The following is a 19,138-nucleotide window of genomic DNA, read 5'->3' on the forward strand; positions in this document are numbered from 1 at the left end:
CTTTGGGGGTCCCGTCAGGGGTTTATACTGGCCCACCATCCATGATAAGAGGGACCTGAAATATTTCTGCAAGGGAAGCATCCAGAGTGGACGAAGCTAAAGAAGGGTACAAGGAACCTTCAGCAGGTAGGGCTAAAGGATAGGCAAGAGATTCCTCATACAAGGGAATTGAGCGTTAATAAGCCTCCAGGGAAGGATAGGCAAGAAATTTCTAATATGAGAAATTGAGCCTAACTAGGACCCAACATGGGAAATACCCCAAGTATTATGAGAAGTGAAAAGGATAAAGATAGCAATAAATATATTCCCCCAGATAGTCCCCTAGGTCTCATGTTAAAATATTGGAAAGGTATTGAGAGAACTAAACATAAGAAAAAGCAACAAATGATAAAATATTGCTGTTTTGTTTGGACCCAGGGTCCACTCCTCAAGCCCTCAATCTTCTGGCCAGTTTGGGTCAAATGAGGATGTAATGTATCAACTCCTAATTCAACATGTAAATGATAAAAGTTCAGTGTTCTCAAGAGAAACTGGACTATGCTCTTTGTTAGAGACAGGGACCTGTTCTCCTCTATCCCTTAAAAACAACTAGGGAAAAGCCCGATCTAGCATCCGACAATGAAGACTCAAAAAACCTGGTTTCCATGGCTAAGGACTCCAGCGCATGGGATCCCCTAGACCACCTTCCCCCACTCATTGCCCCCAATCCTTCCCCTCAGGCAGCTGCTGCTGCCCTGGATCCTGCCCCAGATCCTTCTTCTCCTTACGTTATTCCTCCTCCTTATAATCCTGATTCTTGGGAATCATCATGCCATAAACCTGTTCCCTCTCAGCCTAAGTGCCCCTCCCTGAAGGAACTCCAACATGAAGTAGAACAATGTAAAAGAGATATCCAAAATTTCTCATTTCCCTCCACATCTATGGAGTCAGCTCTGACTCTCTTCCGCTTGAGAGAGGTACCACAAGGAGGAGGTGCTATTGGCTTTGTAAGTGCTCCCCTAACTAGTTCACAAGTCTGGAATTTAAAGAAGGAACTTAAGCCATTATTAGATGACCCTTATGGGTTAGCAGATCAAGTTGATCAATCCCTGGGACCTCAGTTACACACCTGGGTTGAGTTAATGTCCATTTTAGGCATTCTCTTCTCGGGGGAAGAAAGAGGGATGATCAGTAGGGCTGCTATGGTAATTTGGGAGCGTGAACACCCTCCCAGTCAAGACGTTCCTACCGCAGATCAAAAGCTTCCTGGCCAAGACCCCTGGTGGGACAATAATAACCCAGCTCACTTGGAAAATATACAAGACCTAAGGGAGATGATAATAAAGAGAATTAGGGAATCAGTACCCTGAACCCACAACCTCTCTAAAGCACTTGATATACAACAGGAAAAAGATGAGGGGCCTATGAAATTTCTAAACAGATTGAAGGACCAAACGAGACAATATTCAGGCCTAAACTTAGAAGACCCCCTTGGACAAGGAATGTTAAAACTCCACTTTGTCACTAAGAGTTGGCCAGATATTTCAAAGAAGATACAAAAATTAGAAAATTGGGAAGACCGACCTCTGAGTGAACTTCTCAGAGAAGATCAATAAGTATATGTTAGAAGAGATGAAGAGAAACAAAAACAAAGGGCAAAACTTGGTGGAACCAAATCCACATACTTCTAAACAAAGCTTCCAGGGGGCCGGAAACTATACCAGGTCCAGACCCCCGTTTAAAAGAACCAAGCCTCCATCTAGAGGACCCAGACCCTCATCTACCAGACCCTCTAAAGAGTATGGGGGAACAACGTTGCAAAGTCCTGGAGCTGGGAGAGAAGAAGGACAAGAGAGGTGTTACAGATGTGGAAGGGCAGGCCACTTCAAAAGAGAATGTCCCAAATTACAAAGGGAGAGACAAGCCCTTTCCCTCATTACCTCTGAGGAGGAGTAGGGGGCTCAGGGGCTCTGTCTCTTTTACTTCAAGTCCCACCAGAAGCCCTTGATACATTTAGAAGTGGGACCCAATCATGAGCTTATCACCTTTCTAGTCGATTCAGGGGCCGCTCGCTCCTCTGTTTCCCTCTATCTGACATTGCCTGCTCTTCAGAAGACCTTTGAGTCTCTGGGATAAAAGTGGAAGGGTTTAAAGCAAAAGTCTTAGAAAGTACAGAAGTTAAATTCTAAGATTGATTGACTCATATCCAATTTTTATTGATCCCTGAGGCAGGAACTAACTTATTAGGAAGAGAATTAATGTTGAAGTTAGGCATAGTCTTATAAGTTAGTCTAAAAGGATTCCTTGCCTCATTAAATTTACTCACCACCACAGATGAGAAATGTATTCACTCGTTGTGAAGGAAACCAAGGAAAACTTCAGATTCCCACAATCCACATCAAGCTAAAAACCCCAGAGGAAGTGGTGAGGAGGAAGTAATTCTCTATTCCTTCAGAAGGACAGATAGGGTTAAAGCCCATAATTGAAAGTGTCATGAAAGATGGGCTTCTTGAGCCTTGTATGTCTCTTTATAACACCCCAATACTGCCCGTCAAGAAATCAGATGGGTCATACCGGTTAGTACAAAATCTTAGAGCTATCAACCAAATAGTACCAACTATTCACCCTGTTGTCCCTAACCCTTACACTATTCTCAGTAAAATTCCATATATCCATCAATGGATTACTGTAACAGACTCAAAGCATGCTTTCTGGGCATGTCCCCTAGCTGAAGATAGCTGAGGCACATTCACTTTTAAGTGGGAAGACACCCAGTCAGGGTAAAAACAACAGTATCAGCAGACAGTTTTGCCCCAAGGGTTTGCAGACTCACCCAACCTCTTTAGTCAGATTTTAGAACAAGTGCTAGGAAAGGTTTCTGTTCCAAAGCATACATGCATGCTCCAATATGTTGATGATATCCTCATATCAGGAGAGGATGTGGAAAAAGTAACCAGTTTTTCCATACATATCCTTGATCATCTACATTCTGAGGGGCTACAAGTCTCAAAGAAAAAGCTTCAGTATGCAGAACCTGAGGTCAAATATTTAGGCCATTTCGTAAGTGCAGGCAAGTGGAGAATAGTGCCGGAGCAAGTTGAAGGCATCGTGTATTTACCCTTGCCTCAAACTAAGCATGAGCTCAGAAAATTTCTAGGATTAGTTGGATACTGCCGCTTATGGATTGACTCATATGCCTTACACAGTAAGCTGCTATACCAGAAGCCTACTCCAGAAAAACCTGACCATCTCCTGTGGACTTCTGAGGAAGTCAACCAAATTGAGGAATTAAAAGAAAGGCTTATGACTGCCCTAGTTTTAGCTTCGCCTTCTCTAGAAAAGCCCTTTCACCTTTTTGTCAGTGTAAATAATGGAGTGGCTATAGGAGTGCTTACCCAAGAGCACAGTGGCTGCCGGCAGCCTGTAGCCTTCTTATCAAAGGTTTTAGACCCAGTCACTTGTGGATGGCCTCAATGCATCCACTCTGTTGCTGCTATGGCAATATTAGTTGAAGAAAGCAGAAAGTTAACTTTAGGGGTAAAGTTGACTGCAAGCACACCCCACGAAGTTAGAGCAATACTAAATCAAAAAGCTGGGAGGTGGCTTACTGACTCCAGAATCCTGAAATATGAAGTTATTTTGCTGGAAAAAGATGATTTAACCTTAACTACTGATAATTCACTCAACCCAGCAGGTTTCTTAACAGGAGATCCAACTCTAAACAGGGAGCACCTATGTCTCAATTTAATTGACTACCAAAGGTCAGACCAGACCTAGGGGATACCACCTTCAAAACAGGATGACACTTATTCATAGATGGTTCCTCCTGGGTGATTGAGGGAAAAAGACACAATGGGTATTCAGTAATTGATGGGGAAACTCTTGAAGAAATAGAGTCAGGCAAATTGCCTAATAATTGGTCTGCCCAAACTTGTGAGTTGTTTGCACTCATCCAAGCTTTAAAGTAATTGCAGGAAGGAACCATCCATATTGATTCTAAATATGCCTTTGGGGTGGCCCATACATTTGGAAAAATTTGGACTAAACAAGGTCTTATTAATAGCAAAAGCCAAGACCTTGTTCACAAGGAGTTAATCACCCAAGTATTAGATAATCTTCAGTTTCCTGAAGAAATAGCTATTGTTCATGTTTCCAGACAACAGAAAAGCCTTTCTTTTGAAAGCTAGGGAAACAACTTAGCAGATCAGATAGCCAAGCAGGCTGCCGTTTCATCTGGAACACCTGTCTTTCACTTAACCCCTTGTCTTCCTCTACTGCAGTCCCTGTCTTCTCAGCCGTGGAAAAAGAAAAATTAATAAAAATAGGGGCCAAAGAAAACTCAGAAGGAAAATGGGTATTACCAGACCAAAGGGAAATGCTATCCAAACCTCTCCTGAGAGAAATCCTGCCTCACTTGCATCAAGGGACCCACTGGGGACCCAAAGCCATGTGTGACGTAGTTCTCAGAGTTCATGGGTGTATAGGAATTTATACCTTGGCCAAACAAGTCATGGACAGTTGCTTAATATGTAAAAAAAACCCAACAAACAAGTTATAAAGAAATCTCCCTTGGTGGGGAGGAATCCAGGGCTAAGACCATTCCAAAGTATTCAGAGTGACTACACGGAAATGCCCCCAGTTGCTCATCTAAAGTATTTGTTATTAATAGTAGATCACCTCACTCACTGGATCGAAGCTATTCCCTTTTCAAATGCAACGGCCAATAATGTAGTAAAAGCACTAATTGAAAATACAGTGCCTAGATTGGGACTAACAGAGAACACTGACTCAGACAATGGAACCCATTTCACAGCACACATCATTAAAAAGTTGTCCCAAGACCTAGACATTAAATGGGAATATCATACACCTTGGCATCCATCTTCATCAGGGAGAGTAGAAAGGATGAATCAAACTTTAAAAAATCACTTAACCAAATTAGTTCTAGAGACTCAGTTACCATGGACCAAATGTCTTCCTATTTATTGCCCTGTTAAGAATCCAAACTGCACCTCAGAAGGATATAGGCCTTTCTCCTTATGAAATGCCCTATGGACTGCCCTATTTACACTCCACTACCTATATCCCTACGTTTGAGACAAAAGATCAATTCCTCAGGAATTACATATTTGGTCTCTCCTTTACCTTCTCTTCTCTTAAAGCCAAAGGTCTCATGGTACAGGCACCACTCCTAGAGTTCCTGGTCCATTAGCATCAGCCCAGGGATCATATCCTCATCAAAAGCTGGAAAGAATGCAAACTTGAGCCAGCCTGGGAAGGACCCTATCTAGTGCTCCTGACCACTGAACTGCAGTCCGGACAGCAGAGACTTGACACTTGAGTCAAGAAAGCACCGTCCACCCCGAAGTCATGGGCCATTATTCCAGGGGAAAACCCCCTCAAACTAAAGCTAAGAAAAATTTAACTCTCTTCCATTCTTCTTTTCACCTTCCAATGCTGACCACCTTGTTATTAATTAACTAAATCAAACACACCCCAAGTTATTACATTTGACGCTTGTCTAGTCATACCCTGTAGAGATCTCCAAAGTCAGAGGCAACTCTCAGCCTCAGAAAAGTATCTCTGCCCCTTTAAAGTGAAAGGCGCCCCCTACCAAGACTCTTGTTCCTTAACAAATGTAGGAAAACAAGTCTGTCATAGCTGGAATGATGTCCTGTGGAAAACCGAATATCAAGGCTGGACCTCATCAGCGAGTGGTTGTATATCCTTAAAACCATATATTCGTTTTACTAAGGAGAGCACCTCCCCCAGTTGCCAGTGTAACCAATGTAATCCCATATACATTTCTATTCTCATTCCCACCTCTACTGATCCTAAACCTACTTTAAGTCGCTTCTATAACATAGGAGCCAACTTGGCTGCACAGACCTCATAGGGTCTTTTGAAATGCGTTTTATTAATCCTTCATTCTCTTCACCCCCTTCCTTCTCTTCTCCTTCTGAGCTTTCTTCTAATCAGACTGCCATCTCTTCTATACCTAATGATAATACTAAAGTAGATATTGTAGCAGTAGATGGTCTAAGGCAAACTTTAGAAATTGAAACAGGATATCAAGATGTAAACGCCTGGTTGGAATGGATCAAATATTCTGTCTCACATTAAATAAAAGCAATTGTTATGCTCGTGCACATGGCTGGCCAGAGGCCCAGATCATCCCCTTTCCACTCAGATGGTCTCCCAGTCAACTGGGCATGGGCTGCATGGTAGCTCTTTTCTAAGATTCCATGGCTTGGGGCAACAAATTGTGGCAAGCTCTCTCTCTGCTATATCCCAAAGTGCAACACCCTGTGGGTCAGCCCCCAAGGGCCATTCAGCTTCGGTCTTCTGCTCATTTCACCTCGTGTCTCTCATGACAGGGGGAGAACTTAGTGTTCCTTGGCAGCTTAGCAGGACGCAGTGAGCTTAAGCCTTTGCAGGAGCTTACCCATCAGTCGCCCCTTAGTCATCCTCAAGCAGATGTATGGTGGTGTTATGGTGGACCCTTACTGGACACTCTGCCAGGTAACTGGAGCGGTACTTGTGCTCTTGTCCAATTGGCTATCCCTTTCACCCTGGCAGTTCATCAACCAGAAAAAGAAAAAACACAACGCCACAAAATAAAAGAAGCCCCTTATGGGTCTTTTGACTCTGACGTTTATTTAGATGCAATTGGAGTCCCACAGGGGGTACCTGATAGATTCAAAGCCTGAGATCAAATAGCTGCAGGATTTGAATCATTATTTCCATGGGTAACTATTAATAAAAATGTAGATTGGATAAATTATATCTACTATAATCAGCAATGATTTATTAATTACACTAGAAATGCTGTCAAAGGAATAGTTGAGCAATTAGGACCTACTAGCCAAATGGCTTGGGAAAACAGAATGGCCCTAGACATGACGTTAGCTGAAAAAGGTGGAGTTTGTATTATGATCAAAACCCAATGTTGTACCTTTATCCCAAACAATACTGCCCCCGACAGAAGCATAACAAAGGCCTTACAGAGACTGACTGCTTTGTCCAATGAACTAGCTAAAAATTCTGGAATTGATAGCCCTCTTTCAGGATGGCTAGAAAGATGATTTGGTAAATGGAAAGGAGTCATGGCCCCAATCTTCACTTCTCTTGCAGTCATGATAGGTGTGCTTATTCTTGTTAGGTGTTGCATCATACCATGCATCCGTGGGCTAGTACAAAAGCTTATAAAGACAACACTCACTAAAACCTCCCTTAGTTCTCCTCCACCCTATTCAGATAAGCTTTTCCTTTTAGAAGACCAAGTTGAACAGCAAAGCCAGAACATGTTAAAAAGGTCTGAAGAGAAAAGATTATAAAAATTTAAAAGGGAGGAATTGTAAGATACAATGAATCTTTCTGAGTTTCTTTTCAAAAGGTTTAGCCTGTTAACTTCCTTACCCTTTGTTCTCCAACTTAACTTTCTTGTTTCTCCTTGCCAACAGTTACTGTAAACAGCCTACCCCCTTCCCGTCAGTTCTAATCAATAACTCACATCTGTTCCCTTGGTTACCTGTACCCATCGTTCCCTTGAAACTGCACGTCTCACAAGCTCCACCACTGTACCTCACGTCCCCCTCCTTTCCATATTTAGAAAAATATTTACAAGTAGCCAATCAGATGAGCTCAGATTTTGCAGTCTGACCCCAGCCCATGGGGGAAGGACACAGAGATAGGGATCGCGTTAAGGATATAAAAACCCCCTGGTGTCCTTTGTTCAGTGTGCACTTGTGACCTTGTTTGACACAAGTGGCACCCTTTTGCAAAAGAAAATTGCCTTGATGAGGAAACTAAATTTATATTCGAGTGCTGTTTCTTTTGCGGCATCGGAAATTCATTTATAATAAGTTCAACTTAATATTTTTGTGGTGGAAAAACATTTATCTGAAATGTACAATTAATTTTAATTTGATTTTGATTTTCCTTTTATTAAGTTGGCTAAATATATACTTAAAATATATATTATGGAGTGCATAAACCTATTTTTGTACAATTTTTATCATGTTCCTTCAATCTGTTCATTCTACTAAATATATATTCTTCTATGTTTACTTATGATATAAACAGTGATGTTTAAAATGATTCTCACTTGGGAGGAGCCAAGATGGCCGAATAGGAACAGCTCCGGTCTACAGCTCCCAGCGTGAGCGACGCAGAAGACGGGTGATTTCTGCATTTCCATCTGAGGTACCGGGTTCATCTCACTAGGGAGTGCCAGACAGTGGGCGCAGGTCAGTGGGTGCGCGCACTGTGCGCGAGCCGAAGCAGGGCGAGGCATTGCCTCACTCGGGAAGCACAAGGGGTCAGGGAGTTCCCTTTCCTAGTCAAAGAAAGGGGTGACAGACAGCACCTGGAAAATGGGTCACTCCCACCCGAATACTGCGCTTTTCCAACGGGCTTAAAAAACGGCGCACCAGGAGATTATATCCCGCACATGGCTCGGAGGGTCCTACACCCACAGAATCTCGCTGATTGCTAGCACAGCAGTCTGAGATCAAACTGCAAGGTGGCAGCGAGGCTGGGGGAGGGGTGCCCGCCATTGCCCAGGCTTGCTTAGGTAAACAAAGCAGCCCAGAAGCTCGAACTGGGTGGAGCCCACCACAGCTCAAGAAGGCCTGCCTGCCTCTGTAGGCTCCACCTCTGGGGGCAGGGCACAGACAAACAAAAAGACAGCAGTAACCTCTGCAGACTTAAATGTCCCTGTCTGGCAGCTTTGAAGAGAGCAGTGGTTCTCCCAGCACACAGCTGGAGATCTGAGAACGGGCAGACTGCCTCCTCAAGTGGGTCCCTGACCCCTGACCCCCAAGCAGCCTAACTGGGAGGCACCCCCCAGCAGGGGCAGACTGACACCTCACACGGCCGGGTACTCCAACAGACCTGCAGCTGAGGGTCCTGTCTGTTACAAGGAAAACTAACAAACAGAAAGGACATCCACACCAAAAACCCATCTGTACATCACCATCATCAAACAGAGCAGAAAAATTGGAAACTCTAAAAAGCAGAGTGCCTCTCCTCCTCCAAAGGAATGCAGTTCCTCACCAGCAACGGAACAAAGCTGGATGGAGAATGACTTTGACGAGCTGAGAGAAGAAGGCTTCAGACAATCAAATTACTCCGCGCTACGGGAGAACATTCAAACCAAAGGCAAAGAAGTTGAAAACTTTGAAAAAAATTTAGAAGAATGTATAACTAGAATAACCAATACAGAGAAGTGCTTAAAGGAGCTGATGGAGCTGAAAACCAAGGCTCGAAGAGAACTATGTGAAGAATGCAGAAGCCTCAGGAGCCGATGCAATCAACTGGAAGAAAGGGTATCAGTGATGGAAGATGAAATGAATAAAATGAAGTGAGAAGGGAAGTTTAGAGAAAAAAGAATAAAAAGAAACGAGCAAAGCCTCCAAGAAATATGGGACTATGTGAAAAGACCAAATCTACGTCTGACTGGTGTACCTGAAAGTGACGGGGAGAACGGAACCAAGTTGGAAAACACCCTGCAGGATATTATCCAGGAGAACTTCCCCAACCTAGCAAGGCAGGCCAACATTCAGATTCAGGAAATATAGAGAACGCCACAAAGATATTCCTCGAGAAGAGCAACTCCAAGACACATAATTGTCAGATTCACCAAAGTTGAAATGAAGGAAAAAATGTTAAGGGCAGCCAGAGAGAAAGGTCGGGTTACCCTCAAAGGGAAGCCCATCAGACTAACAGCGGATCTCTCGGTAGAAACTCTACAAGCCAGAAGAGAGTGGGGGCCAATATTCAACATTCTTAAAGAAAAGAATTTTCAACCCAGAATTTCATATCCAGCCAAACTAAGCTTCATAAGTGAAGGAGAAATAAAACACTTTACAGAAAAGCAAATGTTGAGAAATTTTATCACCACCAGGCCTGCCCTAAAAGAGCTCCTGAAGGAAGCGCTAAACATGGAAAGGAACAACCGGTACCAGCTGCTGCAAAATCATGCTAAAATGTAAAGACCATCGAGACTAGGAAGAAACTGCATCAACTAACGAGCAAAATAACCAGCCAACATCATAATGACAGGAACAAATTCACACATAACAATATTAACTTTAAATGTAAATGGACTAAATGCTCCAATTAAAAGACACACACAGACTGGCAAATTGGATCAAGAGTCAAAACCCATCAGTGTGCTGTATTCAGGAAGCCCATCTCACGTGCAGAGACACACATAGGCTCAAAATAAAAGGATAGAGGAAGATCTACCAAGCAAATGGAAAACAAAAAAAGGCAGGGATTGCAATCCTAGTCTCTGATAAAACAGACTTTAAACCAACAAAGATCAAAAGAGACAAAGAAGGCCATTACATAATGGTAAAGGGATCAATTCAACAAGAAGAGCTAACTATCCTAAATATATATGCACCCAATACAGGAGCAAGCAGATTCATAAAGCAAGTCCTGAGTGACCTACAAAGAGACTTAGACTCCCACACATTAATAATGGGAGACTTTAACACCCCACTGTCAACAATAGACAGATCAACGAGACAGAAAGTCAACAAGGATACCCAGGAATTGAACTCAGCTCTGCACCAAGCAGACCTAATAGACATCTACAGAACTCTCTACCCCAAATCAACAGAATATACATTTTTTTCAGCACCACACCACATCTATTCCGAAATTGACCACATACTTGGAAGTAAAGCTCTCCTCAGCAAATGTAAAAGAACAGAAATTATAACAAACTATCTCTCAGACCACAGTGCAATGAAACTAGAACTCAGGATTAAGAATCTCACTCAAAACCACTCAACTACATGGAAACTGAACAACCTGCTCCTGAATGACTACTGGGTACATAACGAAATGAAGGCAGAAATAAAGATGTTCTTTGAAACCAACGAGAACAAAGACACAACATACCAGAATCTCTGGGACACATCCAAAGCAGTGTGTAGAGGGAAATTTATAGCACTAAATGCCCACAAGAGAAAGCAGGAAAGATCCAAAATTGACACCCTAACATCACAATTAAAAGAACTAGAAAAGCAAGAGCAAACACATTCAAAAGCTAGCAGAAGGCAAGAAATAACTAAAATCAGAGCAGAAATGAAGGAAATAGAGACACAAAAAACCCTTCAAAAAATTAATGAATCCAGGAGCTGGTTTTTTGGAAGGATCAACAAAATTGATAAACCACTAGCAAGACTAATAAAGAAAAAAAGAGAGAAGAATCAAATAGACGCAATAAAAAATGATAAAGGGGATATCACCACCGATCCCACAGAAATACAAACTACCATCAGAGAATACTACAAACACCTCTACGCAAATAAACTAGAAAATCTACAAGAAATGGATAAATTCCTCGACACATACACTCTCCCAAGACTAAACCAGGAAGAAGTTGAATCTCTGAATAGACCAATAACAGGATCTGAAATTGTGGCAATAATCAATAGCTTATCAACCAAAAAGAGTCCAGGACCAGATGGATTCACAGCCGAATTCTACCAGAGGTACAAGGAGGAACTGGTACCATTCCTTCTGAAACTACTCCAATCAATAGAAAAAGAGGGAATCCTCCCTAACTCATTTTATGAGGCCAGCATCATCCTGATACCAAAGCCGGGCAGAGACACAACCAAAAAAGAGAATTTTAGACCAATATCCTTGATGAACATTGATGCAAAAATCCTCAATAAAATACTGGCAAACAGAATCCAGCAGCACATCAAAAAGCTTATCCACCATGATCAAGTGGGCTTCATCCCTGGGATGCAAGGCTGGTTCAATATGTGCAAATCAATAAATGTAATCCAGCATATAAACAGAACCAAAGACAAAAACCACATGATTATCTCAATAGATGCAGAAAAAGCCTTTGACAAAATCCAACAACCCTTCATGCTAAAAACTCTCAATAAATTAGGCATTGATGGGACATATTTCAAAATAATAAGAGCTATCTATGACAAACCCACAGCCAATATCATACTGAATGGGCAAAAACTGGAAGCATTCCCTTTGAAAACTGGCACAAGACAGGGATTCTGTCACCACTCCTGTTCAACATAGTGTTGGAAGTCCTGGCCAGGGCAATTAGGCAGGAGAAGGAAATAAAGGGTATTCAATTAGGAAAAGAGGAAGTCAAATTGTCCCTGTTTGCAGACGACATGATTGTATATCTAGAAAACCCCATTGTCTCAGCCCAAAATCTCCTTAAGCTGATAAGCAACTTCAGCAATGTCTCAGGATACAAAATCAATGTACAAAAATCACAAGCATTCTTCTACACCAATAACAGACAAACAGAGAGCCAAATCATGAGTGAACTCCCATTCACAATTGCTTCAAAGAGAATAAAATACCTAGGAATCAAACTTACAAGGGATGTGAAGGACCTCTTCAAGGAGAACTACAAACCACTGCTCAATGAAATAAAAGAGGATACAAACAAATGGAAGAACTTTCCATGCTCATGGGTAGGAAGAATCAATATCATGAAAATGGCCATACTGCCCAAGGTAATTTATAGATTCAATGCCATCCCCATCAAGCTACCAATGACTTTCTTCACAGAATTGGAAAAAACTACTTTAAAGTTCATATGGAACCAGAAAAGAGCCCGCATCGCCAAGTCAATCCTAAGCCAAAAGAACAAAGCTGGAGGCATCATACTACCTGACTTCAAACTGTACTACAAGGCTACAGTAACCAAAACAGCATGGTACTGGTACCAAAACAGAGATATATATCAATGGAACAGAACAGAGCCCTCAGAAATAACGCCGCATATCTACAGCTATCTGATCTTTGACAAACCTGACAAAAACAAGCAATGGGGAAAGGATTCCCTATTTAATAAATGGTGCTGGGAAAACTGGCTAGCCATATGTAGAAAGCTGAAACTGGATCCCTTCCTTACACCTTATACAAAAATCAATTCAAGATGGATTAAAGACTTAAACTTTAGACCAAAAACCATAAAAACCCTAGAAGAAAACCTAGGCATTACCATTGAGGACACAGGCATGGGCAAGGACTTCATGTCTAAAACACCAAAAGCAATGGCAACAACAGCCAAAATTGACAAACGGGATCTAATTAAAGTAAACAGCTTCTGCACAGCAAAAAAAAAAAAACTACCATCAGAGTGAACAGGTAACCTATAAAATGGGAGAAAATTTTTGCAACCTACTCATCTGACAAAGGGCTAATATCCAGAATCTACAATGAACTCAAACAAATTTACAAGAAAAAAACAAACAACCCCATCAAAAAGTGGGTGAAGGACATGAACAGACACTTCTCAAAAGAAGACATTTATGCAGCCAAAAAACACATGAAAAAATGCTCACCATCACTGGCCATCAGAGAAATGCAAATCAAAACCACAATGAGATACCATCTCACACCAGTTAGAATGGCAATCATTAAAAAGTCAGGAAACAACAGGTGCTAGAGAGGATGTGGAGAAATAGGAACACTTTTACACTGTTGGTGGGACTGTAAACTAGTTCAACCATTGTGGAAGTCAGTGTGGCGATTCCTCAGTGATCTAGAACTAGAAATACCATTTGACCCAGCCATCCCATTACTGGGTATATACCCAAAGGACTATAAATCATGCTGCTATAAAGACACATGCACATGTATGTTTATTGCAGCATTATTCACAATAGCAAAGACTTGGAACCAACCCAAATGTCCAACAATGATAGACTGGATTAAGAAAATGTGGCACATACACACCATGGAATACTATGCAGCCATAAAAAATGATGAGTTCATGTCCTTTGTAGGGACATGGATGAAATTGGAAATCATCATTCTCAGTAAACTATTGCAAGAACAAAAAACCAAACACCACATATTCTCACTCATAGGTGGGAACTGAACAATGAGAACACATGGACACAGGAAGGGGAACATCACACTCTGCGGACTGTTGTGGGGTGGGGGTAGGGGGAGCGATAGCATTGGGCAATATACCTAATGCTAGATGATGAGTTAGTGGGTGCAGCGCGCCAGCATGGCACATGTATGCAGAGGTACCAGCATGGCACATTGTGCACAGGTACCCTAAAACTTAAAGTATAATAATAATAAATAAATAAATAAGTAAAAAATGATTCTCACTAAATGTTAATAATGGTTATTTTAAGAGTAGTTAGAATTTGTGGTGGGTTTTTATTTCTTTTTTTGTAATTTTGTATTGCTTTAATTTTTCAAAACAAAGATGTATAATTTATAGAACAATAGCAAAGTCGTTACTCCAAGATCAATAAAGGAAGAGACCACTAACAGGAAAAACAACGGAAAAGCAAGTGTGGAATATATGGGACCAAAGAATTTTCTAGCCTGTCTCCTGTATCTGCAGCTGGCTTCTTTCAAACTGTGTGAGTGCCTTTATAATGCAAATAAAAGGATTAATTCCCCTGATGTTTTGCTACTGAGCCAGACCTTTACATGTTCAAGAATATGGTCACTATATTGCTGACTATGTCCACTTAAGTTGGAAATAAAATGCGCAAGTATAATTTTTCAAGATGTGGTTTGCCAACTAGCAGCACTGGCATCACCTGGGTATTTGTTAGATATGCAGAATCTTACCTTACCTGACATACTCAATCAGAATTTTCATGGTGACAAGATCCCCTGAATGATCTGTATAAACATTTAAGCTTGAAAAGCACTGCTTTAAAAGATCTAATGGCTCAATTTTCCAATAAGGATATTGAACAGCGGCTTACATAAAGCTACAGAGATTAATCCTATAGTGGGTTTGCAGAAAGGAGAAAAAAAGATTTTTTCCGTGCACATGAAATTATTCATTCCACAATTTAGCTGTGTTTTATAGGCTATGGGGTCCATCTTTGGTGTGGCTGGGCATCCACACATTTTTAAACATATTCAGAGTGATATCGGGGATTTCCAGGAAAACAGACACAACGGTTGATGGTTAAAGAAGAAAAAGGAAAGCTTTCTTGTTTGCTGGCTTGTTTTGTTAGCGCAAGATATGAAGAATCCGGCTGAGGGCAGAGTTAATTAGCATTATCTAAAGTGAAAAAAAAAATAGGATTACCTGCAAGAGATCTCAGCACTTGTAATTCTTTTTCCAAATTGTCTAAAGTATGTTGATCAGTAGTGTCATCTAAGGAAAGCTCATTCTGGTCAGTAATATCAATATATTCAATTTCTGAAATTTCAGAAGCAGCTCTAGATGATGATTGAGCAGCTGCACTTCTTGATCGAGGATGAGAGGATGAAAGGCAACTGGAGCTTTCTTTAACAGAGTTGGAAAGTGGAAAATTTGCTGTTGAAGGTCTCTGTGATTTCTGACCTAAAATTAAAAGTAAAAAGTTTTTAAATCAACTTTTAAAAATTTGAATGAGTACTTAAAGATACAAAATACCAGGTCCCTGCACACAGAGAAGTTAAGTTCATGTAACAGAGTTTATGAAAAGTTAACTTTGACTATCACCCTTTCTAGCTAACCACATTTTCTTAATCTCAAATTACTTTTCCAATGTCATAAAGAACACTTCTGTGTATTTTTTTCCTAATTTTCCTACATTCAGAGGAAAACAAACTAATTTTAATATTCACAAAGGAAAATATCTATAAACTAAGTCAACTTTGTAGAGAAACAACACACAATTTTATAACGTATTCCAAAGCCAAGCACCACGACATGTGTCTTAAATTCCAGGACAATACCAAACTTAATACCTTGTAAGAAAAAAAACCTTAGAAAAAGCATCGTGCCACTTCCTAGTAAACCAATTTTACTTGATGATATGTAATTTATTCTTACATTTAAAAATATGGCAACAAAAGAGACTAATTTACAAAATCTATATGAATATTTGGAAAAACACAGGCTTTAAAGAAATTGAGATCACGTCTCTAATTTTCCTACGGATGAGCTCACTCTCTTCTGGAAAAGTTCCAGAAGCACCGATCTAAATTAGGTTATTACATTGTTCCTCTAGGACAGTCGCTACTTTGTCTTCACCTGTTTTGAAAGTTGACTTAGTTGGTTTCTTCAACATGTTTGCTCCTTTAACAGTAGGAAAAAAAAATCTCTTCAAATCTTATACTAACACAACATAACTAATTTCTAATTTGGTATTTCTCACAAAATATTACTTAATAAGGCCAAGACAGTTTTCAAGGTACATATTTAAAAATTCATAGGGCAGGTAAATGCTTTAATGTAATAAATTATTGTTCTGATTTAGGTAAATATATTTATAGTAAACATAATTATATTATAAGATAACTTTGCACTCCCTTAACACAAACTGGCTTTGTAAAACTATTAGGTGGGTGCAATTGTCATTATCATAAAAACCCTAATTTGATGGAACCTATGCCATATAACATTGTTCTCACTCTAGTGACTCAACAAAAAATATAAAATTCAAAAAAGTGACTACAGGCGGTAATCATGTATTAAATATTTAATGACTATTGAGTTGTTTTTGGGGGGTTTTGGGAGTTTTTTTGGAGAAGGAGTCTTGCTCTGTCACTAGGCTGGAGTGCAGTGGCACGATCTCGGCTCACTGCAACCTTTGCCTCCCAGGTTCAAGCGATTCTCCTGCCCCAGGCTCCCAAGCTGGGATTACAGGCGCGTGCCACCACACCCAGCTAATTTTTGTATTTTTAGTAGAGATGGGGTTTCACCATGTTGGCCAGGATGGTCTTGATCTCCAGACTTCATGATCCGCCTGCCTCAGCCTACCAAAGTGGAGTTTGTCTTTTTTTAACTTAAAAAAAATCTACTTCGAATGTGTCTAATACCTCAAGAAGACTCTCAATACAGTATGTAATTATTTAAGCAATTAAAATTGGCCAAGGTAAGTCTCAAAGGGTACCAACTTTAGTGAAAATTTCAGAAATCAATTTTTAAAATAATTTTAATTGAAATAAAATTATGAGTAAGTTAAAATAAGACTGATCTTTTGTGTCTATTTGTGCTCAGATAAAAATAATGGGCTAAAATATGCCTAAGTGTTAAAAACATATATCTATATCTATATATATATATAATTATCCCTGAGAATTATTTTTATGACTATAAGTTAGAAATGATTTCCTCTTTTATCTATAATATGTAAAGAACCATATTTATAGCAATCAAGAACCAAACTCTCCAAGTCTACATAAGGAAGCAATAGCACAGGCAATAGCAGTAGCTGCACAAGTCAGAGAGTGTAACAATAATTCGCAATATAAATCAAAAGTTCTACTCTATGGGGTAAACCACACTTTAGTATCTGTACTATGATATGTCTCAATCAAGGTAAAATTTAAAGGAATTCACAACTCTTTAAAAAAACAAACCAAACGAAAATACTATGAGTAAGGACTGGACTTCTGCCAATTCACAGAAATGAAGAAAGAAAAATTTAATATAATGTAGATGCCCTTCAGAAAATCTAGAAGAGTACGAACACTAATAAGAACATTTGATTGCCACAGTATTTAAAGGTAATTGATCCCCATTGAGAAAAAGTACACAAAGGACAGGTCAGACTTATGCTTAGCACACAGCAAAGAAACAGACCATCTTTCTTACTGGAAATATGCTCAAAGTGTAATTTAAAGTAACTAAAACACAGAAACAGACAGAAGAGGCCCCAGTTTGATTCTTGATTTTGTTTATTGTTCTTTTAAGCCAATATATCATTCTTTCTAATGTTTAATATATAAGGGTACTAATGTTACGGTTAAGTTTAAGATATAACACAACATTAACACTGGCACTAGTTAAAAATGCCATGATTGAGGGGATCATTCCATATTTTTTTTAAAAAAAATCTCAATTTGTAGATTAAAAGCATAAGAAGTTACTTTTGGAGTAACATGCGCCATCACTGTCAATGTAATCATAAGAAATTATTGGTTAACACTGATCAGTTATATTCTAAATGTAACAAAATAAATTTTCCTTGGTGTTAACTGAAGAATATATGCTCTATGATTACTAATAAAACTAAGCCAACTATTGGGAAGATAAAATTCAATAGTGACTTTAAATCATATTAATGGATACAATATTACTGGTAAGGATATAAAAAATAGGAATAATTCACTGAATGATAATCGTTATTGCTATTCTAAATATAACAATAGAATTAGATGAAATGTAACTATAGCAACATAATTTTAGGTAGCGTTTTAATAACAAATAATATTCTTATCAAAGGACCCAGTATTTTGATCTTAAATAAAGTTTGCAAAACACTGTTGTCTATTGACATTCATGTTTCACTGTATCAACTGCTGAGAATTTATACATAAAAAGAATTCTTAGAAATGTATTTTCTAAGAATTCTTAAATTTATATACAAATTTTATTTAGCAGCATGGTTAAGTGGAAAGAATACTAAACTAGGTAACTAAGAATGTTATTGTGTTATCTTATAGAATTAGAAAACAGCTTATGACCTGTGAAATACAAAATTCAGGAACTGGATAGTAGAACGTCTTAAATTCCTTCCAACTCTGAGAGCTTGTGAATTAATACTCAATCAAATTCAATTATAAAATTATTTATCACCCTCTAAAACTGCCAGGCACTGTGTCAGGATTGGGGTATTCAAAAGGGAATAAGACATCACCTCCACCCTCAAGTTGCACTCCAAACTAACACACAGTTCTACTAGCCTACTCTACTAATTGGAAAACACTTACTGAGCACTTACAATAGGCCAGGCCCTGTTCCATTACTGAAGATACCCCAATGAACAGGACAGACTAGTCCTTGATTTCTTTCCAACCAAGGGTAAGAGAAAGCAGGAAAAAAGCTAATAAGATGATGTTAAATAGTGATAGCTTTTACAAGAAAAATAAAAGAAGGTAAATGTGATAGAGGAACTCAAGAGACCAGCACTAGATAGGGTGGTGCCAGAAGGTCTCTCTATGGAGGTAGCATCTGGACTGAAGCTGAATAATGGAAAAGAATCAATCATATGAAGAGTGTGAGAATGGAGAGGGAAATTTCAGAGCATCCTGGAGAAGAGGTAAGATCTAATTCTAAGGCTAAGAAGTGAGTAAGAGAGTGGCTTAAGAACAGAAAGAAAGTAAATGTGGCTACAGTGTAGGAGAAGATGCAGTTAGGAGAGACGGGTAGCCAACCAAGGTGTTGCTGTGTGAT

General features: G+C 39.6%; 1 protein-coding gene across 20 annotated transcripts in view; it reads right to left on the minus strand.

Annotated features, from left to right (window-relative positions):
- ZBBX (zinc finger B-box domain containing) overlaps positions 1-19,138 on the minus strand; it is a 229,485-nt gene that overhangs the window by 88,778 nt on the left and 121,569 nt on the right. For 11 of the 20 annotated variants that reach the window (XR_924174.3, XR_924173.2, XM_024453753.2 and 8 more), the window contains 2 exons: positions 15,992-16,036; positions 15,059-15,316 (listed from right to left, as the gene is read on the minus strand). Coding sequence is in view for 18 of the 20 variants with exons in the window: in XM_024453753.2 (XP_024309521.1) it covers positions 15,059-15,316; positions 15,992-16,036 (303 nt within the window). In the remaining 2 variants the exon portion in view is untranslated. The remainder of the gene's footprint in view (positions 1-15,058; positions 15,317-15,991; positions 16,037-19,138) is intronic. The other 9 variants (NM_001377489.1, NM_001199202.2, NM_024687.4 and 6 more) reach the window with 1 other exon arrangement.

Source organism: Homo sapiens, chromosome 3, assembly GCF_000001405.40.
Source record: "Homo sapiens chromosome 3, GRCh38.p14 Primary Assembly".
NCBI lineage: Eukaryota > Metazoa > Chordata > Mammalia > Primates > Hominidae > Homo > Homo sapiens.